Source organism: Homo sapiens, chromosome 5, assembly GCF_000001405.40.
Source record: "Homo sapiens chromosome 5, GRCh38.p14 Primary Assembly".
In the NCBI taxonomy this organism is placed as follows: Eukaryota; Metazoa; Chordata; class Mammalia; order Primates; family Hominidae; genus Homo; species Homo sapiens.
The window spans coordinates 114018668-114040073 of record NC_000005.10 but is presented as its reverse complement, the minus strand read 5'-3'; the positions used below and the strand labels follow the sequence as shown (position 1 = coordinate 114040073).

Genomic DNA, 21406 nt, shown 5'->3' with positions numbered 1-21406 from the left:
AGAGCAGTATGCCATTTTTAATCTGGGCACACACAAAGTCTGCCATTGTTTGGCAATCCGGCAGCACAGCTGCACGGGCATTTAAACCTTGGCCCAGAGATTGGAGCGCTTGCTCTAGATCAGGGAAAGGGCCACCACAGCCAGAATTGAGTAACAAGTATGGAAAATGCCCCCGAAGTAGGTGCTGGAATTGGGCTCTCTTCCATCACAAGACTAGAGTGGGAGGAGAATTGCTGAAGCCATGGTTTCTCTTGGGTGGCAAGACTTGCAGCCAGGGACAGCTCTGCAACCTGGAACTTGTCTGCATAATCATTATCGGGTGTCCAGCCTTCTCCCCTGAGATTGTGCTACAGAGGGGTCCTCTCTACTCTATGACCAAGTAATACTCCAGGCATGCAGAGCACTCACCCTTACCTGGATTAGCAGCCTGAGCCACCCTACTCTTCCTGTCCCAAGATCTTGGTGTAGTGGTGTTGCCTCCACTCCACACCTGGGCATATTCTTAGGCATTTAGTACTTCCCTCTTTCAGGATTTGTTGCCTGAGCTGCCCCCAACTTTCCTGCAAAGACATTGTTTCACCATGGGTCACTCCACTCCTTGCTGGGGGATATACTTCCAGGCAATTGAAATACCCACTCACCTGGACTAGTAGTCTGAGCTGCCCCTCTCATCCCCTACAAAGACATTGCTGCAGTGGTTGTTCTCTCACTCCTCACCAGGGTATATTCCCAGGCATTTGGTGTACATACTCACCTGAATAGGAGCCTGAGCTGCCCCTCCCTTCTCTTGCAGAGACCTTGGTGCAGTGGCATACTCTCTGCATTATGCCTAGACTCCAGGTATTTGGAACAGCCATTCTTCTAGATTAGAAGTTTAGGCTGTCTCCATTTCTCATGAAGAAAACTTGGGACAGCAGAGGTTTGTCAACTCCATGCTGAGGCACACCTCTGGGCACTCAGTGGCCGCCCACTGGACATCCCCTCTGAGCTTGTGCTTATGCCTGCCATTGGGGGACTTGTAGGCAGGCCTGCCCAGTGTAGCCATGCCCATCTTGGCTCCCCATTCTGGGGCTGAGCAGGCAGCTCAGGGAACTCTGCATTCCACAGATCAGCCTACTGCCTGAGGCAACAGAGAGCTTCTCCTAGTAAACAAGGATCAAGTATCCACATTGCCAGTAGCCAGCTATTACCCATAAACATCACCTACTATCCTGAAGGTTGAATGACACAGCAGGACATTTGCTCCGTGAGCATACAGCACTGGGGAATGAAATAAGTTTCCTGAGACTCCACTACTCTGGCCCCACAGAAGGCAGTGAACCTGCTCACACACCCAGCACATCACTACTACATCCAGCTTTTGGAAAAGCCACCGTGCAAAGGCTAGCTATAACCAAGGAATGTAGAAAGACTCTTAGTGACTGAAAACACCCAGAACAAAAGCCAAAGGACCCTACACAACATTGTATATTATAGACACCTCCTCAATGGGGAAAAATCCCATCCAAATAAAAGCAAAATTAAAAAATAAGGAGAGATAGCTTATCTCTCCTTCCTCTGAGAAAGAACCAGAGAAACAACTCTGAAAGTATGAAAAAATAGTTATACTCCACAAATGGAAAACAAAAGCAAGCAACAGTAGCCATCTTCATATTGGATAAAACAGATTTTAAACCAACAACAGCAAAAAAAAAAAAAAAAAAAAAAACCAACCACAACAAAGATGGGCATTATACAATGATAAAGAGTTCAATGCAACAAGAAGACAAAGCTATTCTAAATATATATGTATATATGCAGTCAACATCAGAACACCCAGATTCATAAAACAAATACTACTAGATGTACGAAAACATATTACTATAAATACAATAATGGTGTGGGACTTCAACACCCCACTGACATACCTAGACAGACCATCAAGGCAGAAAATCAACAAAGAAACTCTGGACTTATCTGGACTTAGACTGGAGTATAGACTAAATGGACCTCATAGACCTTCACAAAACATTCTAACCAACAACCACAGAATGTACATTCTTCTCACCTCCACATGAAACATTAACCAAAATAAACCATATGCTTGGACATAAAGCAAATATCAATACTTCCAAAACATCAAAATCATATTGGGTATTTTCTCAGACCACAGTATAATAAAATTAGAAATCAATACCAAGAAGAACTCTTAAAGCTATACAAATACATGGAAGCTAAACAACTTGCTACTGAGCGATCTTTGGGTAAACAACAAAACTAAGGCAAAAATTAAAAAAAAAACCAAAAAAATGGAAATAGAGACATAACACACCAAAACCTCTGGGATAGAGCAAAAGTAGTGCTAAGAGGAAAGTTTATAGCATTAAATGCCACATTGGATTTCCCAATTGGAAAAGCGGAAGTTTATAGCATTAAAAAGATGCTTAAATTAACAACCTAATATCAAGCCTCAGGGAACTAGAAAAACAAGAACAATCCAAATCCAAAGCTAGCCAAAGAAAATAAATTACAAAGATTAGAGCAGAACTAAATGAAATTGAGACCAAAAAATGATACAATGTATTAATGAAACAAAAATTGTTTTTTTGAAAGGATAAGCAAAATTGACAGAATGTTAGCTCGGTTAACCAAGAAAAAATGAGAGATGATTCAAATAAGCACAATGAGAAATGAGATATCACCACCGATACCACAGAAATACAAAAGATTATCAGAGATTACTATGAATATCTCTACCCACACAAACTACAAACCCTAAAGGAACTGGATAAATTCCTGGAAACACGTAACCGCCCAAGATTGAGCCAGAAAGAAATAGAAATTGTGAACAGACCAATAACAAGTAATGAAATCAAATAAATAATAAAAAAAACTTCCAACAACAACAACAAAAAAAAACAGGATCAGACAGATTCAGAGCCAAATTTTGCCAGACATACAAAAAAGAGCTGATATCGATTTTATGGCAACTATTCAAAAAAAGTAAGTAGGAGAGAGTACTCTCTAACTCATTCTATGAAACTAGTACCACTCTGATAACAAAATCAGGCAAGGACACAACAAAAAAAGAAAACTACAGGCCAATATCCCTGATGAACATAGATACAAAATTCTCAACAAATACTAGCAAACCAAATCCAACAGCATACGATCAAGTGGGTTTTATTCCAGGGATGCAAGTATGTTTCAACATCCACAAATCAATAAACATGATTCATCACATAAACAGAACTAAAAACGAAAACCATATAATCATCTCAATAAATGCAGGAAATGCGTTTGATAAAATCCAATATTGTTTTGTAACAAAAACACTCAACAAACTAGGAATCAAAAGAACATTCCTCAGAATAGAGCGATGTATGACAAACCCACATCGAACACTATAATGAAGGGGGAAAAGTTGAAAGCATTTCCCCTAAGAACTGGAACTGTCACCACTCATATTCAACATAGTACTGGAAGTACTAGCCAGAGCAATCAGGCAAGAGAAAGAAATAAAAAGCATCAAAATTAGAAAAGAGAAAGTCAAATTAATTCTGTTTGCTGATGACACAATTGCATACCTAGAAAACCCTAAAGACCTCTCTGCAAGACTTCTAAACCTGATCAATGAATTCAGTAGTCTCAGGATGCGAAATCAATGTAAAAAATTCAGTAGCGTTTCAATATGCCAATAACATTCAAGCTGAGAACCAAATCAAGAACTTAATGCCATTTACAATAGACACACACCACCAAAAATATCTAAGAATACATTTAACCCAGGAGGTGAAAGAGCTCTACAAGGAAACTACAAAACCTTAATGAAATAAATTGTGGATAGCAAAAACAAATTGAAAAACATTAAATAGTTATGGACTGGAAGAATATCATTAAAATTGCCATACTGCCCCTAAAGCAATCTACAGATGTGATACTATTCCTATCAAACTACCAGTGTCATTTCTCACAGAATTAGATAAAAACTATTCTAAAATTCACATAAAACCCAAAAAGACTCTGAACAGCCAAAGCAACACCAAGCAAAAAGAGCAAATCCAGAGGCATCATACTGCCTTACTTCAAACTATACTCTGAGGCTATAGCAACAAAAACAGCATACATAGTAGTTGTACAAAAACAGACACATAGATCAATGGAACATAACAGGGAACCCAGACACAAAGGCAGATACCTACAGCCAACTGATCTTCAACAAAGTCAACAAAAATAAATAATGGGGGACAGACTCCCTATGCAATAAATGGTGCTGGGAAAATTGGCCAGCCATATGGGGAAGAATGAAATTTGACCCCTATCTCTCATCATATACAAAAACTCGAGATGGATTAAAGACTTAATCTAACTCAAGATGGATTAAAGACTTAAAAGTAATAACTGAAACTATACAAGTCCTAGAAGAAAACCTAGGAAAAACTCTTCTGGACATTGGCCTAGGCAAAGAATTTGTGATGAAGACTCCAAAAGCAAATGCAACAAAAACAAAAACTAGACCAACAGGACTTAATTAAACTAAAAAGCTTCTGTACGGCAAAAGAGATAACCAACAGACAGACCACCTAAAGAATGAGAGAAAATATTTGCAAATTATGCCTCTGACAAAGGACTAATATACAGAATCTACAAGGAACACAACTCAACAAGAAAAAAAAACCCCATTAAAAGGTGAGCAAAGGACATGGGCAGACATTTCTCAAAAGAAGAAATACAAGCAGTCAACAAACACATGAAAAAATGCTCAACATCACTAATCATCAGATAAATGCAAATTAAAATCACAATGAGATTAAGATATCATCTTACACCAGTCAGAATGTCTATTATCAAAAAGTCAATAAACAACAGATGTTGGCATGGATGCAGAGAAAAGGGACTGCTTATACATTGTTGGTGGGAATGTAAATTTTTTTAGTCTCTATAGAAAACTGTATGGAGATTTCTTAAAGAACTCAAAATAGAACTACCATTCGACCCAGTAATCCTAATACTGGATATTTACCCAATGTAAAAGAAATCATTATATTAAAGAAACACCTGCATGCATATGTTCAGTGCAGAACTATTCACAGTAGCAAAGTCATGGAACCAAACTAAGTGTCCATCAATGGTTGACTGTATAAAGAAAATGTAGTATATATACATCATGGAATACTATGCAGCTATAAAGCAGAATTAAATCATGTTCTTTGCAGAACATGGATGGAGCTGGAGGTCATTATTCTAAGTTAACTAATTGACAAATGGAAAACCAAATACTGCATGTTCTTACTTATAATTGGGAGCTAAACAATGGGTACACATAGACATAAATATGGAAATAGTAGACACTGGGGACTTAAAAAGGGTGGAGGGCGGGAGGAAGGTGGGGAGTGAGAAATTGCTTATTGGGTACAATGTTTACTATTTGGGTTATGGGAACACTGGAAGCTCAATCCCCACCAGCATGCAATATACCCATGAAACAAACAAGTACATATACCCCCTGAATCTAAAATTTAACAAAAAGTGAGAGTCTTTATATGTTGTCCCAAATTCACAGCAATGGCATATTACTGTGCAAAAAATTAATGAGGGGGTAGTTTATAGTTGATTTACTCTTTGAGGTGTTACTGGACTCATCTTTTCTAGTCAGTGTTCATTACGTATTTATGAGTCAGATTGGCTATCTTTCATTCTTTATTGTAATTGGAGAAGAAAAACATCACATAAAACCATTTTCCTGGCTGAATGGTGAAATAATTTAAAAGGCAGTATGTTAACCTTGCAGCTTGTCTAACAACCATGAGACTCTCCTCAGAACAATAATTAAAGTAGCTCTTTCTTTATTATATAAATTATTCATTCACTTTTTAACACTAGGTGAATGTTTATGTTTATATAAAATGAGTACTAAAGATGGTTTTCCCATTTCAAAAGTCACCTCCTGTTAACTTGTCACAACTTCATCAGGAAAAGAAGTTACTGCACAGCTGTTTTCCTGTGAAATTAATGCCGTAACTTATATAAACACAAAATTGTACAATAAGATTCAGGCTGTGTTTACATTGATTAACAGACATAGAAAAGGCACACATCTGCTCAAGGGGGAAAAAAGTATCCTCAAGGACAAGAAAGCATTTTGGGATATCTCTTCTTATATACTCTAAAAATTTTGGGTATAATATCCCTGTCTCCCTGAGGTACAATTCATAGAGGGAAGATGAGGAAACAGAGGTTTCTTTAATACTATGTGTAAGCAATGAGTTAAGGCCAAAAATTCTTTGACCACATGAGTTCCCATCACTGATCTTTTCAGCTGTCCAACGTCCTCCTCATGTACTCACTTCCCACTGTCCTTATTTAGATTCCACACGATTGTTAAAACCACTTCTTGGTACATAGCCTCAATCCCCCTGCCTCTATCCCTCTGTAAGACTCAATTGGTTAAACCCCACAGGGTTAAGTCCAACTCCCCATCAATACTTGTTATTATAATATCAGTCTTTTAAATTTTAATCATTATTATTTGAATGTAGTGGTATTTCAATGTGATTTTTAATTTGAATTTTTCTGATGAGTAATGATATTGAGCACTTTCCCCTATGTGTTTAGCCATTTGGGTACTTTTTGTCAAGTGCCAGTTTAAGTATTCTGCCTATTTTTGACTGTTTTTCCCCCTTCTTGTTTGTAGTTCTTCACATATCCTGAATATGTATCCTTTAATGTTTATATGTATTTTAAATCTCTTCTCCCAGTTTAAACCACATCTTTTCACCCTCTCAATGGTGTCTTTTGGTGAACAACGTCTTAGCCTGTTTGTTTTGCTAAAACAGAATATCTGAAGCTGGGTAATTTATAACAACTGAAATTTATTTTCTCACAGTTCCGGAGGCTGGGAAATTCAAGATCAAGGTGCCACCAGTCTCAGTTATCTGGTGAGGCTTGCTTTCTGCTTCTCAGATGGTTCATCCAAAGAGAAGGAATTCTGCGTCCTCACATAGCAGAAGGCAGAAGGCCAACAAGGGGTGAATGCTGTGTGAATCCTCTTTTATAAGAACACCTCATTCCCATTCATGAAGGAGGAGCCCCCATAGACTGATCACCTTTTTAATGGCCCCACCTCTTAATATTGGCAACATTTGAATTTTGGAAGGGACATATTCAAACTACAGCAAATAGACATTCTTAATTTAAATGATGTCCAAGTTATCATTTTCCTTTATAGTTAGTGCTTTTTTAAGTCTTTGCTAATGAACTTACTTTTCTCATTCACCAAAAAAGTGGAAACAACCAAAAAACGATGTTCATATCCTGCCTAACAACAAATCCATCAAGCTACCTGTACCTCTACCCATACTCTTTCTTCTCTCTTATTAACAATGGATGGGTTTTCCCTGCTCCTCACTACAGCCAAAACTGCCACTGCTTCCCATCCACTCACCCACTTAAGATCTTCTTTCTTTCAAGTATTATTTCCTCTTCTCATCATCAAGCTTTCCCTCTGTGCTAGAGTCATTCTGATCAACATACAAATATGCTATAATATCACCCATTGTATCTATCAGAGTACCAGCAGGAAGTTGATGGCACTAAATTAGGATAATTTGAGGAAGATTCATAAAAAAGACCATTTACAAGACAAGGGCGGGGTGTAGAGAAAACATGAAAGATATGGAGTACCACAGGATTAGTAATAGTGACGTTGTTACCAAGCATAGGTCCCTAGTGAAGGAAGAGATTACCGGCACTCAAAAGGAGTCAGTCATGCAAAATGACTATTGGGAGTAGTAAAGAGAACCAGGAAGCCAGAGGCTGCCTCCTGTAGGGAAGGGGATAGGAGAATAAATGTTATAAACTTCCTTTTCCTCTCTTCCTCCAGTCTCCAGTTAAGGTTCCAAACTTCAGAGGTTAAGATGGTTTGTTTAATATAATCCATGTAGGTCAGCTTCCTGTGATACAGCAAAGTGTGGAGAAGGAGAAAGTGCTGAAGTGGTAGATGGCAGGTAGCCGCAGGGTCCATCCCTTTTCCCCTCTTAGTCCATTTTTATTCTTCAAATGGTTGAAAAATTTATGCCCTCAATACAAGGGACACACATGTTCTTCAGCTCTCATATTAGGGCAAAGTGATGTTAATTTGGCCATACTCACAAATCAAACCTTAAATATCAGTATTATAAGTGTCAATTGTATAAAATAAGAGTGTGGAGGTAGGGAAAAATAAGTAATTATAATTCCTACCTATGCAGTTAGTGCCAACACCTAACTTGGTAATTATGACTCCCTTTCTCTGTCACTTACTTCATGTTTCCCTCAACATATCCACCTTGGCTGGATACAGTTCTCTATAGGGAAAGATATAAAACTTCATTCCAGTAAAAATTGTATACTCAATGGTCACATCTTTATTGGGCTGCCAAAGTTTTCCATTGACCTATGCTACTGGACAAGGGAATATAAGAGACAATCTAATTGTTTTCTTAGGTTCAAAATAGAGGGGTCTTCTTTGCTCCTATTATGTAGCAGAAATGCGATTTTCCCCTGGAAATTAAGATCAGTTACCCTAGCTCATACAGTGAAACATCTCTTTATTGGTTCATCAGCATGAAAAACGCCAAATGGCCACGAGACAAGCCCATTTTTCAGTGAATCAGAATGAGGACTGTTTCCTTGTGGAAGCATTCTTCCCTTGGTGATATGGTTTGGCTCTGTGTTACCACCTAAATCTCATCTCTAATTAAAATCCCCACATGTCGAGGGAGAGAGATGGTAGGAGGTGATTGGATTACAGAGGCGGTTTCCCCCATGCTGTTCTAGTGATAGTGAATTCTCATGAGATCTGATGCTTTAAAATGTGGCACTTCCCCTTCGCCCACTCTCCCTCCTGCCGCTTTATGAAGAAGGTGCTCACTTCTCCTCCACTTTCCACCATGATTGTAAATTGTCTGAGGTCTCCCCAGCCATGCAGAACTAAGAGTCAAATTAAACCTCTTTTGTTTATCAATGACCCAGGCTTGGGTATTTCTTTATAGCAGTGTGAAAACAGACTACTACACTTGGGCATGAAGACTTCCAGACTTAACAGTCATAGCGTTGAAAGCAACAAAATTTAAGTGAATTATTATGGATAATAGTGGAAGGGGTTGCTCTCACTTTCCCCTCTTTCCCGAACCCATGCATTCTGAATACAGTGACACCACCAAATAGCAGCTGTTAGTTTAAGGTAAAACTCTCATCCTTCAGAACAGCATCTCAGTTCTTCAGGGTGGTCTACCCTAGCTGGCACCATAACTGAGCCTCTACCAGGCACTCTACCATCCCATTAAGTCAGCTTCTATAGGGTGGTAGGGTAATACCAGTGAATGTAATGAGAAGCAGTCCATTGCCTCACCTTCTTTCACATGAAATATGTTTCCTGGTCAGAGGTGATGTTGCACGGGATAGGTTGGGAATGAATAAAGAAGGTATTCTGTTAGTCCACAAATGATAGTGCTATCAGGAACACCGTGAGCAAAAAATGCAAATCCCTTGTGAAATATGCATCTTCCATATAAGGACAAAGTGATACACTTGGCAAGATGGGAGAGATAAAATATAATTAATCTGCCACTAGGTGACCAGCTTGACTCTTGATAAATGGTACATCACGTGGCTCAGCATCAGCCTATGCTTTTAGAAGGTTAAGCATTGAGCACAACAGTAGCCACATCAGCCCAGGCAAGAAAAAAGACTATGTTTTTGAGCCTGTGCATAGCCTCTTTCCCAGTTGCTATGGTTATTTTGTACATGGATCCATTAAGTATGTTCCAGGGTGTCTGGGAAAAGAAACTGACATCAAGAGGATGAGTTGCCTTGTCTGCCTGATTATTAAGGGTCTCCTCCAAAGTGGATGCCCTCTGGCGCACATTTACAGATTAAGTGGATATCTTCATACTCCATGCCCATACTGAGAGGATTATTTAAATCTGTTTCCCCCAGAACTCTTTGTCAATAATTTTCCAATTTGTCTTTCTTAGTCATTGAGCAGTAGGTCAGTGTGTTAGCCCCTGCCCAGAAGTCAGCGTAGATTTGCACCTTAGGCCATCTCTCTTTTAACACAAAATGGACAATTCAACCCACCATTCTAAGTTCTGCCCACTGGGATAATTTCCCTTCATCAATACCCACCTTCCCCAGCACAAACAGTGAGACTGTAGTATAGTGGTTTTTTCCTAGCATGTGGGGCAGAAAGACCTATAATTAGGCCCATGCTTTTCCCTGTCCCTTGGCTGGCCAGAGGGAATCAGTTATGGTGTCATAGATGTGAATTGAGGAGGAGACGGTAAAGCATCAGGGGCAGGTAGCACAAGAATCGGAGCCACCTGATCATGCAGTTTACTTTTCCTTTTATATCTGCTCAGACCTGGTCTCTATATTCAACTTCCATTTTATAATGGAATGTTGCTAGACATGTCCAATTTTATGGTCCAATGGATTCAATAACACCAGTGTATGACTGGCAGTTGAGGTTGCATACTAACTTGATGACCAGAGTCATTGATTTAGTCTCTACCAGGGTCCAGCAGCAACCCAAGAGCTGTTTCTTAAGTAAAATATAGTAGTTGGCAAGGGATGAAAATGTCTTACCCTAGAGTCTTCTATTCTCCTACTATGGTTTGTGCAGTATGCATTTTTAAAACTCTATTTATTTATGCTGAAATATTTTAAAGTGAATCAATAACATCTTGATATTACACCTCTAAATTCCTTAGTATATATATCTTTAAGAAATAAAAATATTGGCCAGGCATGGTGGGCTCACACCTGTAATCCCAGTACTCTGGGAGGCTGAGGCGGGGCGGAGTACCTGAGGTCAGGAGTTTGTGACCAGCCTGGCCAACATAGTGAAACTTAGTCTCTACTAAAGATATAAAAATTAGCTGGGCATTGTGGCACATGCCTATAATCCCAGCTACTCAGGAGGCTGAGGCAGGAGAATTGCTTGAGCCCGGGAGATGGAGGTTGCAGTGAACCGAGATCATGCCATTGCACTACAGCCTGGCCGACAGAGTCAGACTCTGTCTCAAAAAATAAAATAAATAAATAAATAAATATTTTCCTGCTTAGCCAAAATAACATCATTGCACTTAAAAATTAAAATTCCTTTATATTAATACTCAGTCCATATTTAAATTTATTGTTCCAGAAATGTCCTTTTCACTTAACTTACTACATTTACAACTTTTCTCATGGCTTGACATTTTTAAAATAGAAACTTTGAAAACAGTGCCAAATCAGACAAAAATTATACTGTGTAAAATTGCATACATGGATAACAAAACTTCAAAGAAACACAAAGAAATTTAGACACTGGTTAATTTTGGCGACAATGACATGATTATAATCAGTTAGGTGTAAACAGGGAGCCTTGGGACGCTGGCAGTATGCTATTACTTGGCCTGGGTGACAGCTGCACAAAAATGTCTTTTATTGAGTATTTGTTAAATTATACCCATATGTTTATGCACTTAAAAATACAGATATGACATAATTTATGAACAACATATTAAAATACTTTTGGAAAGTAAAACTTCTATACAAGTATTAAGTATTATTATATAAAATAAAAATAATAGAGCTTTTATAGCATTCTTTTGATTTGTACAGGACAAATCTAAATAAAAGTGGCTTTTGCTAGCATTGTAATAAAGGTATTTTATTTTTACAAAAGGCAGACGTCTTATGTTATAACTTAAGACCATCAGTTCAAAATCTAGTTCTGTCTGGTATTCTTTTTTTTTTTTTTTTTTTTTTTGAGGTGGGGTCTTACTCTGTGGCCCAGGCTAGAGTACAGTGGCATGATCATGGCTCACTGCAGCCTTGACCTCCCAGGCTAAAGTGATCCTCCCACCTCAGCTTCCCAAGTAGCTGGGACTATAGGAGTGCACCACCACACCCAGCTAACTTTTGTATTTTTAGTAGAGGTGGGGTTTTGCCATGTCGCCTCTGTCTGGTATTCCAAATAATTTTCATGCATTGTAATAGCATTTTCACAGTTTGTTTTATAAACATTCTAACAAATGCTATTTGAAAATGTACAAGAGGATTAAGGAAGAAAGTTTTATAGTTATAAATATTATAAGTAAACATTTTCTTTTATTGCCAAAGATCAATGGATTTCTTAATCACTTGGTGAAAGAAACATCTCTAGGTTCTCCCAGGGAGTAAAGTTAGGGAGATTGGCAAAGCAAATAATAGATAATTACAACATTCCTATTTCCCCAATTCTTCAGACTCCCATCTCCATGGTATGCCAAGGAAGTTTCCATATTTCTACTTTCTTTTTTGAAAGATGAAGCAAGTTAATGTTTCATTAACAAGGCATCCTAGTAAGAGTAACAACATTTACTAAGGCCCTCAGAGGCATAAAATAGCATATCTGTAAATAATAATAAAATATTTTTTATTTCCAATTCTGACTTTTATTTATTTTTCTTATCTTCTTTCACTGGCTAGGACTTCAGTACAATGTTTAATGGAAGAGGTAGTGGATATCTTTATTTGTTTCCCATTCTCATAAGTAAAACATTAAATAATTCACCTTTAAGTGTTGTTATAAATACTTCTTTAAAAATTAAGTTAAAGATATAGAAAGTTTTTCTTTCTATTTTGCCTATATATATACATATATTTATTATTATTATTATTATTATTATTATTATTATTATTATTATTATTGTTATACTTTAAGTTCTGGGGTACATGTGCAGAACCTGTAGTTTTGTTACACAGGTATACACGTGCCATGGTGGTTTGCTGAGCCCATCAACCTGTCATCTACATTAGGTATTCTTCTAATGCTATGCCTCCCCTAGCCCCCCAACCCCCAACAGATCCCAGTATCTGATGTTCTCCTCCCTGTGTCCATGTGTTCTCACTGTTCAATTCCCACTTATCAGTGAGAACACGCGGTGTTTGGTTTTCTGTTCTTGTGTTACTTTCCTGAGAATGATGGCTTCCAGCTTCATCCATGTCCCTGCAAGGGACATGGACTCATTCTTTTTTATGGATGCATAGTATTCCATGGTGTATATATGCCACATTTTCTTTATCCAGTCTATCACTGATGAGCATTTGGGTTGGGTCCATCTTTGCTATTGTGAATAGTGCTGCAATAAACATTCATGTGCATGTGTCTTTATACTAGAATGATTTCTAATCCTTTGGATATGTACCCAGTAATGGGATTGCTGGGTAAAATGGGATTTCTCGTTCTTGATCCTTGAGGAATGGCCACACTGTCTTCCACAATGGTTGAACTAATTTACACTCCCACCAACAGTGTAAAAGCATTCCTATTTCTCCACATCCTCTCCAGCATCTGTTGTTTCCTGACATTTTAATGATCACCATTCTAACTGGCGTGAGATAGTATCTCACAGTGGTTTTGGTTTGCACTTCTCTAAGGACCAGTGATGATGAGCTTTTTTTCATATATTTGTTGGCCACATAACTGCCTTCTTTTGAGAAGTGTCTGTTCATATCCTTTGCCCACTTTTTGATGGGGTTGTTTGTTTTTTCCTTGTAAATTTGTTTAAGTTCCCTGTAGATTCTGAGTATTTCCCTTTGTAAGATGGATAGATTGCAAAAATTTTCTCCTATTCTGTAGGTTGCCTGTTTACTCTGATGATAGTTTCTTTTGCTGTGCAGAAGCCCTTTAGTTTAATTAGATCCCATTTGTCTATTTTGGCTTTTGTTGCCATTGCTTTTGGTGTTTTAGTCATGAAGACTTTGCCCATACCTATGTCCTGAATGGTATTGCCTAGGTTTTCTTCTAGGGTTTTTATGGTTTTAGGTCTTATGTTTAAGTCTTTAAGCCCTCTTGAGTTAATTTTTGTATAAGGTGTAAGAAAGGGGTGCAGTTTCAGCTTTCTGCATATGGCTAGCCAGTTTTCCCAACACAATTCATTAAATAGGGAATCCTTTCCCCATTGCTTGTTTTTGTCAGGTTTGTCAAAGATTAGATGGTTGTAGATGTGTGGTGTTATTTCTGAGGTCTCTGTTATGTTCCACTGGTCTATATATCTGTTTTGGTACAAGTACCATGCTGTTTCAGTTACTGTAGCCTTGTAGTATAGTTTGAAGTCAGGTAGCGTGATGCCTCCAGCTTTGTTCTTTTTACTTAGGATTGTCTTGGGTATGCAGGCTCTTATTTGGTTCCATATGAGTAGTTTTTTCCAATTCTGTGAAGAAACTCAAGGGTAGCTTGATGGGGATAGCATTTAATCTATAAATTACTTTGGACAGTATGGCCATTTTCACAATATTGATTCTTCCTATCCATGAGCATGGAATGTTTTTCCATTTATTTGTGTCTTGTCATTTCCTTGAGCAGTGGTTTGTAGTTCTCTGTGAAGAGGTCCTTCATATCCCTTATAAGTTGCATTCCTATGTATTTTATTCTCTTTGTAGCAATTGCAAATGGAAGTTCACTCATGATTTGGCTCTCTGTCTGTTATTGATGTATAGGAATGCTTGGATTTTTGCAATACATTGATTTTGTATCCTGAGACTTTGCTGAAGTTGCTTATCAGCTTAAGAAGATTTTGGGCTGAAGTGACTGGTTTTTCTAAATATACAATCATGTCATCTGCAAACAGGGACAATTTGACTTCCTCTATTCCTATTTGAATACCACTTATTTCTTTTTCTTGCCTGATTGCCCTGGCCAGAACTTCCAACACTATGTTGAATAGGAGTGGTGAGAGAGGGCATCCTTGTCATGTGCTGGTTTTCAAAGGGAATGCTTACAGCTTTTGCCCATTCAGTATGATATTGGCTGTGGGTTTGTAATAAATAGCTTTTATTATTTTGAGATATGTTCCATTGATACCTAGTTTATTGAGAGTCTTTAGCATGAAGGGGTGTTGAATTTTGTTGAAGGTCTTTTCTGCATCTATTGAGATAATCATGTGGTTTTTGTCATTGGTTCTGTTAATGTGATGGATTACATCTATTAATTTGTGTATGTTGAACCAGCCTTGTATCCCAGGGATGAAACCAAATTGATTGTGGTGGATAAGCTTTTTGATGTGCTGCTGGATTCGGTTTGCCAGTATTTTATTGAGGATTTTTGCATCTAGGTTCATCAGGGATATTGGTCTGAAATTTTCTTTTTTTGTTGTGTCTCTGCCAGGTTTTGGTATCAGGATGATGCTGAACTCATAAAGTCATTTAGGGATGATTCCCCCTTTTTCTATTGTTTGGAATAGTTTCAGAAGGAATGGTACCAGCTCTTCTTTGTACCTCTGGGAGAATTTGGCTGTGAATCCATCTGGTCCTGGATTTTTTTTGCTTGGTAGGCTATTAATTACTGACTCAATTTCAGAACTTCCAATTGATCTATTCAGGGATTCGACTTCTTCCTGGTTTAGACTTGGGAGAGTTTATGTGTCCAGGAATTTATCCATTTCTTCTAGATTTTCTAGTTTATTTGCATAGAGATGTTTATAGTATTCTCTGATGGTGGTTTGTATTTCTGTGGGATCAGTGGTGATAGCCCCTTTATCATTTTTTATTGCATCTATTTGATTCTTCTCTCTTTTCTTATTAGTCTTGCTATCGATCTATTTTGTTGATCTTTTAAAAAAAACAGCTCCTGGTTTCAATGATTTTTTTTTGGAAGAGTTTTTCATGTCTCTATCTCCTTCAGTTCTCCTCTGATCTTAGTTATTTCTTGTCTTCTGCTAGCTTTTGAATGTGTTTGCTCTTGCTTCTCTAGTTCTTTAATTTTGATATTAGGGTGTCGATTTTAGATCTTTCCTGCTTTCTCTTGTGGGCATTTAGTGTTATAAATTTCCCTCTAAAAACTGTTTTAAATGTGTCCCAGAGGTTCTGGTACATTGTGTCTTTGTTCTCATTGATTTCAAAGAACATCTTTATTTCTGCCTTAATTTCGTTACCCAGTAGTCATTCAGGAGCAGGTTGTTCAGTTTCCATGTAATTGTGCGTTTCTAAGTGAGTTTCTTAATTCTGAGTTCTAATTTGATTGCACTGTGGTCTTAAAGACTGTTTGTTATGATTTCCATTCTTTTGAATTTGCTAAGGAGTATTTTACTTCCAATTATGTGGTCAATTTTAGAATAAGTGTGATGAGATGCTGAGAAGAATGTATATTCTGATGATTTGGGGTGGAGAGTTCTGTAGATGTCTATTAGGTCCACTTGGTCCAGAGCTGAGTTCAAGTCCTGAATATCCTTGTTAATTTTCTGTCTCATTGATCTGTCTAATATTAACAGTGGGGTGTTAAAGTCTCCCACTATTATTTTGTGGGAGTCTAAGTCTCTTTGTAGGATTCTAAGAACCTGCTTTATGCATCTGGGTACTCCTGTATTGGGTACATATATATTTAGGATAGTTAGATCTTCTTGTTGCATTGATCCCTTTACCATTATGTAATGGCCTTCTTTGTCTCTTTTTATCTTTGTTGGTTTAAAGTCTGTACTATCAGAGACTAGGATTGGAACCACTGCTTTTTTTTGCTTTCCATTTGCTTAGTAAATATTCCTCCATCCCTTTATTTTGAGCCTATGTGTGTCTTTGCACGTGAGATGTGTCTCTGAATGCAGCACACCGATGGGTCTTGACTCTTTATCCAATTTGCCAGTCTGTGTCTTTTAATTGGGGCATTTAGCTTGTTTACATTTAAGGTTAATATTTTTATGTGTGAATTTGATCCTGTCATTATGATGCTAGCTGGTTATGTTGCCCATTAGTTGATGCAGTTTCTTCATAGTGTTGATGGTCTTTACAATTTGGTATGTTTTTGCAGGGGCTGGTACATGTTGTTCATTTCCATGTTTAGTGCTTCCTTCAGGAGCTCTTGTAAGGCAGGCCTCGTGGTGACATAATCTCTCAGCATTTGCTTGTCTGTAAAGAATTTTATTTCTCCTTCGCTTATGAAACTTAGTTTGGTTGGATATGAAAATCTGGGTTGAAAATTCTTTTCTTTAAGAATGTTGAATATTGTTTCCCACTTTCTTCTGGCTTCTAGGGTTTCTGCAGAGAGATCTACTATTAGTCTGATGGGCTTCCCTTTGTGGAAAACCCAACCTTTCTCTCTGGCTGCCCTTCACATTTTTTTCCTTCATTTCAATCTTGGTGAATCTGATGATTATGTGTCTTGGGATTGCTCTTCTCAAGGAGTATCTTTGTGGTGTTCTCTGTATTTCCTGAATTTGAATGTTGGCCTGTCTTGCTAGACTGGGGACGTTCTCCTGGATAATATCCTGAAGAATGTTTTCCAGCTTGGTTCCATTCTCCCTGTCACTTTCAGGTGCACCAATCAAATGTAGATTTGGTCTTTTCACATATTCCCATATTTCTTGGAGGCTTTGTTTGTTCCTTTTTATTCTTTTTTCTCTAATCTTGTCTTCACATTTTATTTCGTTAGTTTGATCTTTAATCTCTGATATCCTTTCTTCTGCTTGATCGATTAGCCTATTGATATTTGTGTATGCTTCACAAAATTCTCATACTGTGTTTTTCAGTTCCATCAGGTCATTTATGTTCTTTTCTAAACTGGTTATTCTAGTTAGCCATTCTTCTAACCTTTTTTCAAGGCTCTTAGCTTCCTGCATTGGGTTAGAACATGCTCCTTTAGCTCGGAGGAATTTTTTATTACCTACCTTCTGAAGCCTACTTCTGTCAATTCATCCAACTCATTCTCCATCCAGCTTTGTTCCCTTGCTGGTGAGGAGCTGTGATCCTTTAGAGGAGAAGAGGCATTCTGGTTTTTTGAATTTTCAGCCTTTTTGTGCTGGTTTCTCCCCATCTTCGTGGATTTATCTACCTTTGTTCTTTGATGTTGGTGACCTTCAGATGAGGTCTCTGAGTGGATGTCCTTTTTGTTGACTTTGATGCTATTCCTTTCTGTTCGTTATTTTTCCATCTTACAGTCAGGCCCCTAGCTGCATGTCTGCTGGAGTTTGCTGGAGGTCCACTCCAGACCCTGTTTGCCTGGGTATCACCAGCAGAGGGTGCGGAACAGCAAAGATTGCTGCCTGTTCCTTCCTCTGGAAGCTTTGTCCCAAAGGGGCACCCACCAGATGCCAGCCAGAGCTCTCCTGTATGAGGTGTCTGTTGGCCCCTACTGGGAGATGTCTCCCAGTTAGGATACACGGGGGTCAGGGACCCACTTGAGGAGGCAGTCTCACCCTTAGGAGAGCTCACTTTGCTGGGAGATCCGCTGCTCTCTTCAGAGCCGTCAGGCAGGATGTTTAAGTCTGCTGAAGCTGCGGCCACAGCCACCCCTTCACCCAGGTGTTCTGTCCTAGGGAGATGGGGGTTTTATCTATAAGCCCCTGACTGGGACAGCTGCCTTTTTTTCAGAGATGGACTGCCCAGAGAACAGGAATCTAGAGAGGCAGTCTGGACATAGCAGCCTTGCTGAGCTGCGGTGGGCTTCGCCCAGTTCGAACTTCCTGGCGGCTTTTTTTACACTGTGAGGGTAAAACTGCCTACTCAAGCCTCAGCAATGGTGGATGCCCTTCCCCGCATCAGGCTCAAGCATCCCAGGTCGACCTCAGACTGCTGTGCTGGCAGTGAGAATTTCAAGCCAGTGGATCTTAGCTTGCTGACTCTGTGGGGGTGAGATCTGCTGAGCTAGACCACTTGGCTCCCTTGCTTCAGCTCCCTTTCCAGGGGAGTGGATGGTTCTGTCTCACTGGTATTCCAGGCACCACTGGAGTATGGAAAAAAAACTCCTGCAGCTAGTGCGGTGTCTGCCCAAATGGCCGCACAGTTTTGTGCATGAAACTCAGGGCCCTGGGTGAATAGGCACCAGAGGGAATCTCCTGGTCTGTGGGTTGCGAAGACCATGGGAAAAGTGCAGTATCTGGGCCAAAGTGCACTATTCCTCATGGCACAGTCCCTCACGGTTTCCCTTGAATAGGGGAGAGAATTCCCTGACCCCTTGTGCTTCCTGGGTGAGGTAATGCCCCACCCTGCTTTGGCTTGCCCTCCATGGGCTGCACCCACTGTCCAACCAGTCCCAATGAGATGAACCAGGTACCTCAGTCAAAAGCACAGAAATCACCTGCTTTCAGTGTTGATCTAGCTGGGAGCTGCAGACCGGAGCTGTTCCTATTCGGCCATCTGGCCAGCTGCCCCCATTTTTCTACTTTTAAAAATCTAGACCAATATACTTAGATTTGCCAATCCTACAGATGATGAATATCACTTCTAGGTGTTTGAACCAACACACCAAATCCTGACTCCTCGGTTGTCCATCATACCAATGAATTTGGCCTATTTGAGACTCATATCCTATCCCCCTTATTCAAAAATCTTTAGAATTCACCCCCACAAGCTTCCTAAATGCCTTTAGTTTGCCCCTATGTATTGCTGAGGTCTTACACATTTTTAATCTATAGGTTATCTCTGCTCTGAGCAAGCCTTCTATTGAACACTCTTAGGGTTATATAATATTGTAACTTCTCTGGAGGCAATCAGAGGTGGTAGGGATGGGTCCTGTTCGGATGTTAGTGCTTCAAGTACAGTCGGTGAAAAGCTTTTACAGCAGGGACTATTTCCTCCGATAGGGAAATGGTGCTCCCTCCATAGGCAAAGATAATTTAAGGGACATTTAGGACATCTGGGTCAGCTCATATGTTTCTATCCTATTTCTCAGCATTCCACTACTTCCCCACCAGTGCCTTTACCTTAGTATAGACACTTGGTGATCTCTTCCATTCTGTAACTCTGACAATCAGCCCTAGGATTTGTCCTTAGTCAAATCTACTCAAAGCATTTCTTCAAAGCTTACTTGAAGAACTTTGGGTCCTCCATGTGTGTTCTTTATTGGATGTTCATGGCCCTTAATGTCATGTTTTCCCTGCATATGCCTCTTCAGGACCATAATAAAAAGCCTGATGATTATATCATCTTTATAATCACTTTGTTGCTTTGGTGACTAATTTTCACTTCTCATTTAATTCAATTCTACTATTAATAATCCGAGTAACCATGATTCCAGAGCAGGCCATGGTTTGCATGTTCCTTCCCTCCTTACCCCCATGAGGAGATTATACCATACCCTTTGAATGTATGACAAATTTCATCTGGAAAGGCCAGTTTGATAACCTGTTTCTTGGAACCACTTAATTTAAATCCTCTTATAATTTCTATAAATCTGTGTTTTAAGCCACTAAGTTTGTGATAATTTGTTACAGCTGCAATAGAAAGCTAGTATATCAACTAACAACTATTGTTTGGGGACAGCCACCTTTTTTCATTTCACTGAATGACTACAGAATAGTTATACAACAAGACAGTTTAACATTTTTTGTTTTCACTATTATTTGGTGGGGATACAGCTCTTGGAAACTTCGGAAGAGAATCTAAAGAGCATTTTTCATCATGCAGTTGTTTATACTTTTTATTGAGTGCCTATTATGCACCCAACACCCTTTATATATTATTTTAAAAATTATAACCCTGGAAAATTAATGCTATTATTCCTCATTTTAGAGCTACAGAATCTAAGACTTGGAATGGTAAAGTTACTTGCTCCAGGTCATATGGTTAATATGTGCCAGAACCAGAAGTTAAATCCCAAAGCCATCAAAATCAAAAGTCCAAGTTCATTTCATGACACATGTGGCACCCAGAAGAGCCTGTGTATATATCAACAATTAATGCACATTGAGTAGGATTTGGGGGAAGCAACATCAATAAGTCCAGTTTCCTACTTTTATCTAGACTCTTAGTTTCCAATTTACTCATCCCAGCCTGTTCCACTAAAGATAAACTTTTAAGGAACCAGAATTGTTGTAAGCACAAAATCTAATCACTGAGTCTCAGCCCTGGATTATATTAAGTTAAATTAAATTAGATCCAATACTGAGGCTTCCAACCCTGCTTTATGAATTTCAGAATGTCAGAGAATAGATGTGAAAAACTACAGTGTGATTAACTTGTTACTGGGGGCTCAAAATATCACTTTCTATCTACTGACCATGGAACTAGGAAGGCACATTCTAGAAAAATTGGTACACATGTTCATCAACAGCATATTCCCACCAACAGGCCCAGATGAATATCAAGTTAGCATTTGCATGGACATTAACTGTTTTATTAACATCAAATTTCATTGACTCCCCCCTCAATGCCCCCTCCCCTTCCGCTAAACAAAATCTGTAAGCTAAAACTTAAAAGAAGAACTGAAATGCTACACACTGCAGGGTCTTGTTATTGAGATTCTGGGAAAATGTGTTTCCTTATGACAATACATTCATTTCTCAATAGTATGTTCTATATTTTGCTTTGTAATTGGCCTTATACTGATAAGAAAATTGAGTTCACAATCATTTTTTACCCCTTTGAAATTATATGGTTCTGCTGTTATAAATAACCAGCATTCTGTTTCTATCAACAGGAATCCATAGTG

The 21406-nt window shown here is 38.7% G+C and overlaps 2 annotated features.

Moving 5' to 3' along the window:
• Positions 491-990: an enhancer, noted in NCBI's record as "NANOG-H3K4me1 hESC enhancer chr5:113374781-113375280 (GRCh37/hg19 assembly coordinates)". NCBI's record gives its function as "activates a minimal SCP1, AML or CMV promoter by ChIP-STARR-seq in naive H9 embryonic stem cells {active_cell/tissue: H9 hESC(naive)}" and the evidence as "EXISTENCE:reporter gene assay evidence [ECO:0000049][PMID:30033119]".
• Positions 991-1492: an enhancer, noted in NCBI's record as "NANOG-H3K4me1 hESC enhancer chr5:113374279-113374780 (GRCh37/hg19 assembly coordinates)". NCBI's record gives its function as "activates a minimal SCP1, AML or CMV promoter by ChIP-STARR-seq in naive H9 embryonic stem cells {active_cell/tissue: H9 hESC(naive)}" and the evidence as "EXISTENCE:reporter gene assay evidence [ECO:0000049][PMID:30033119]".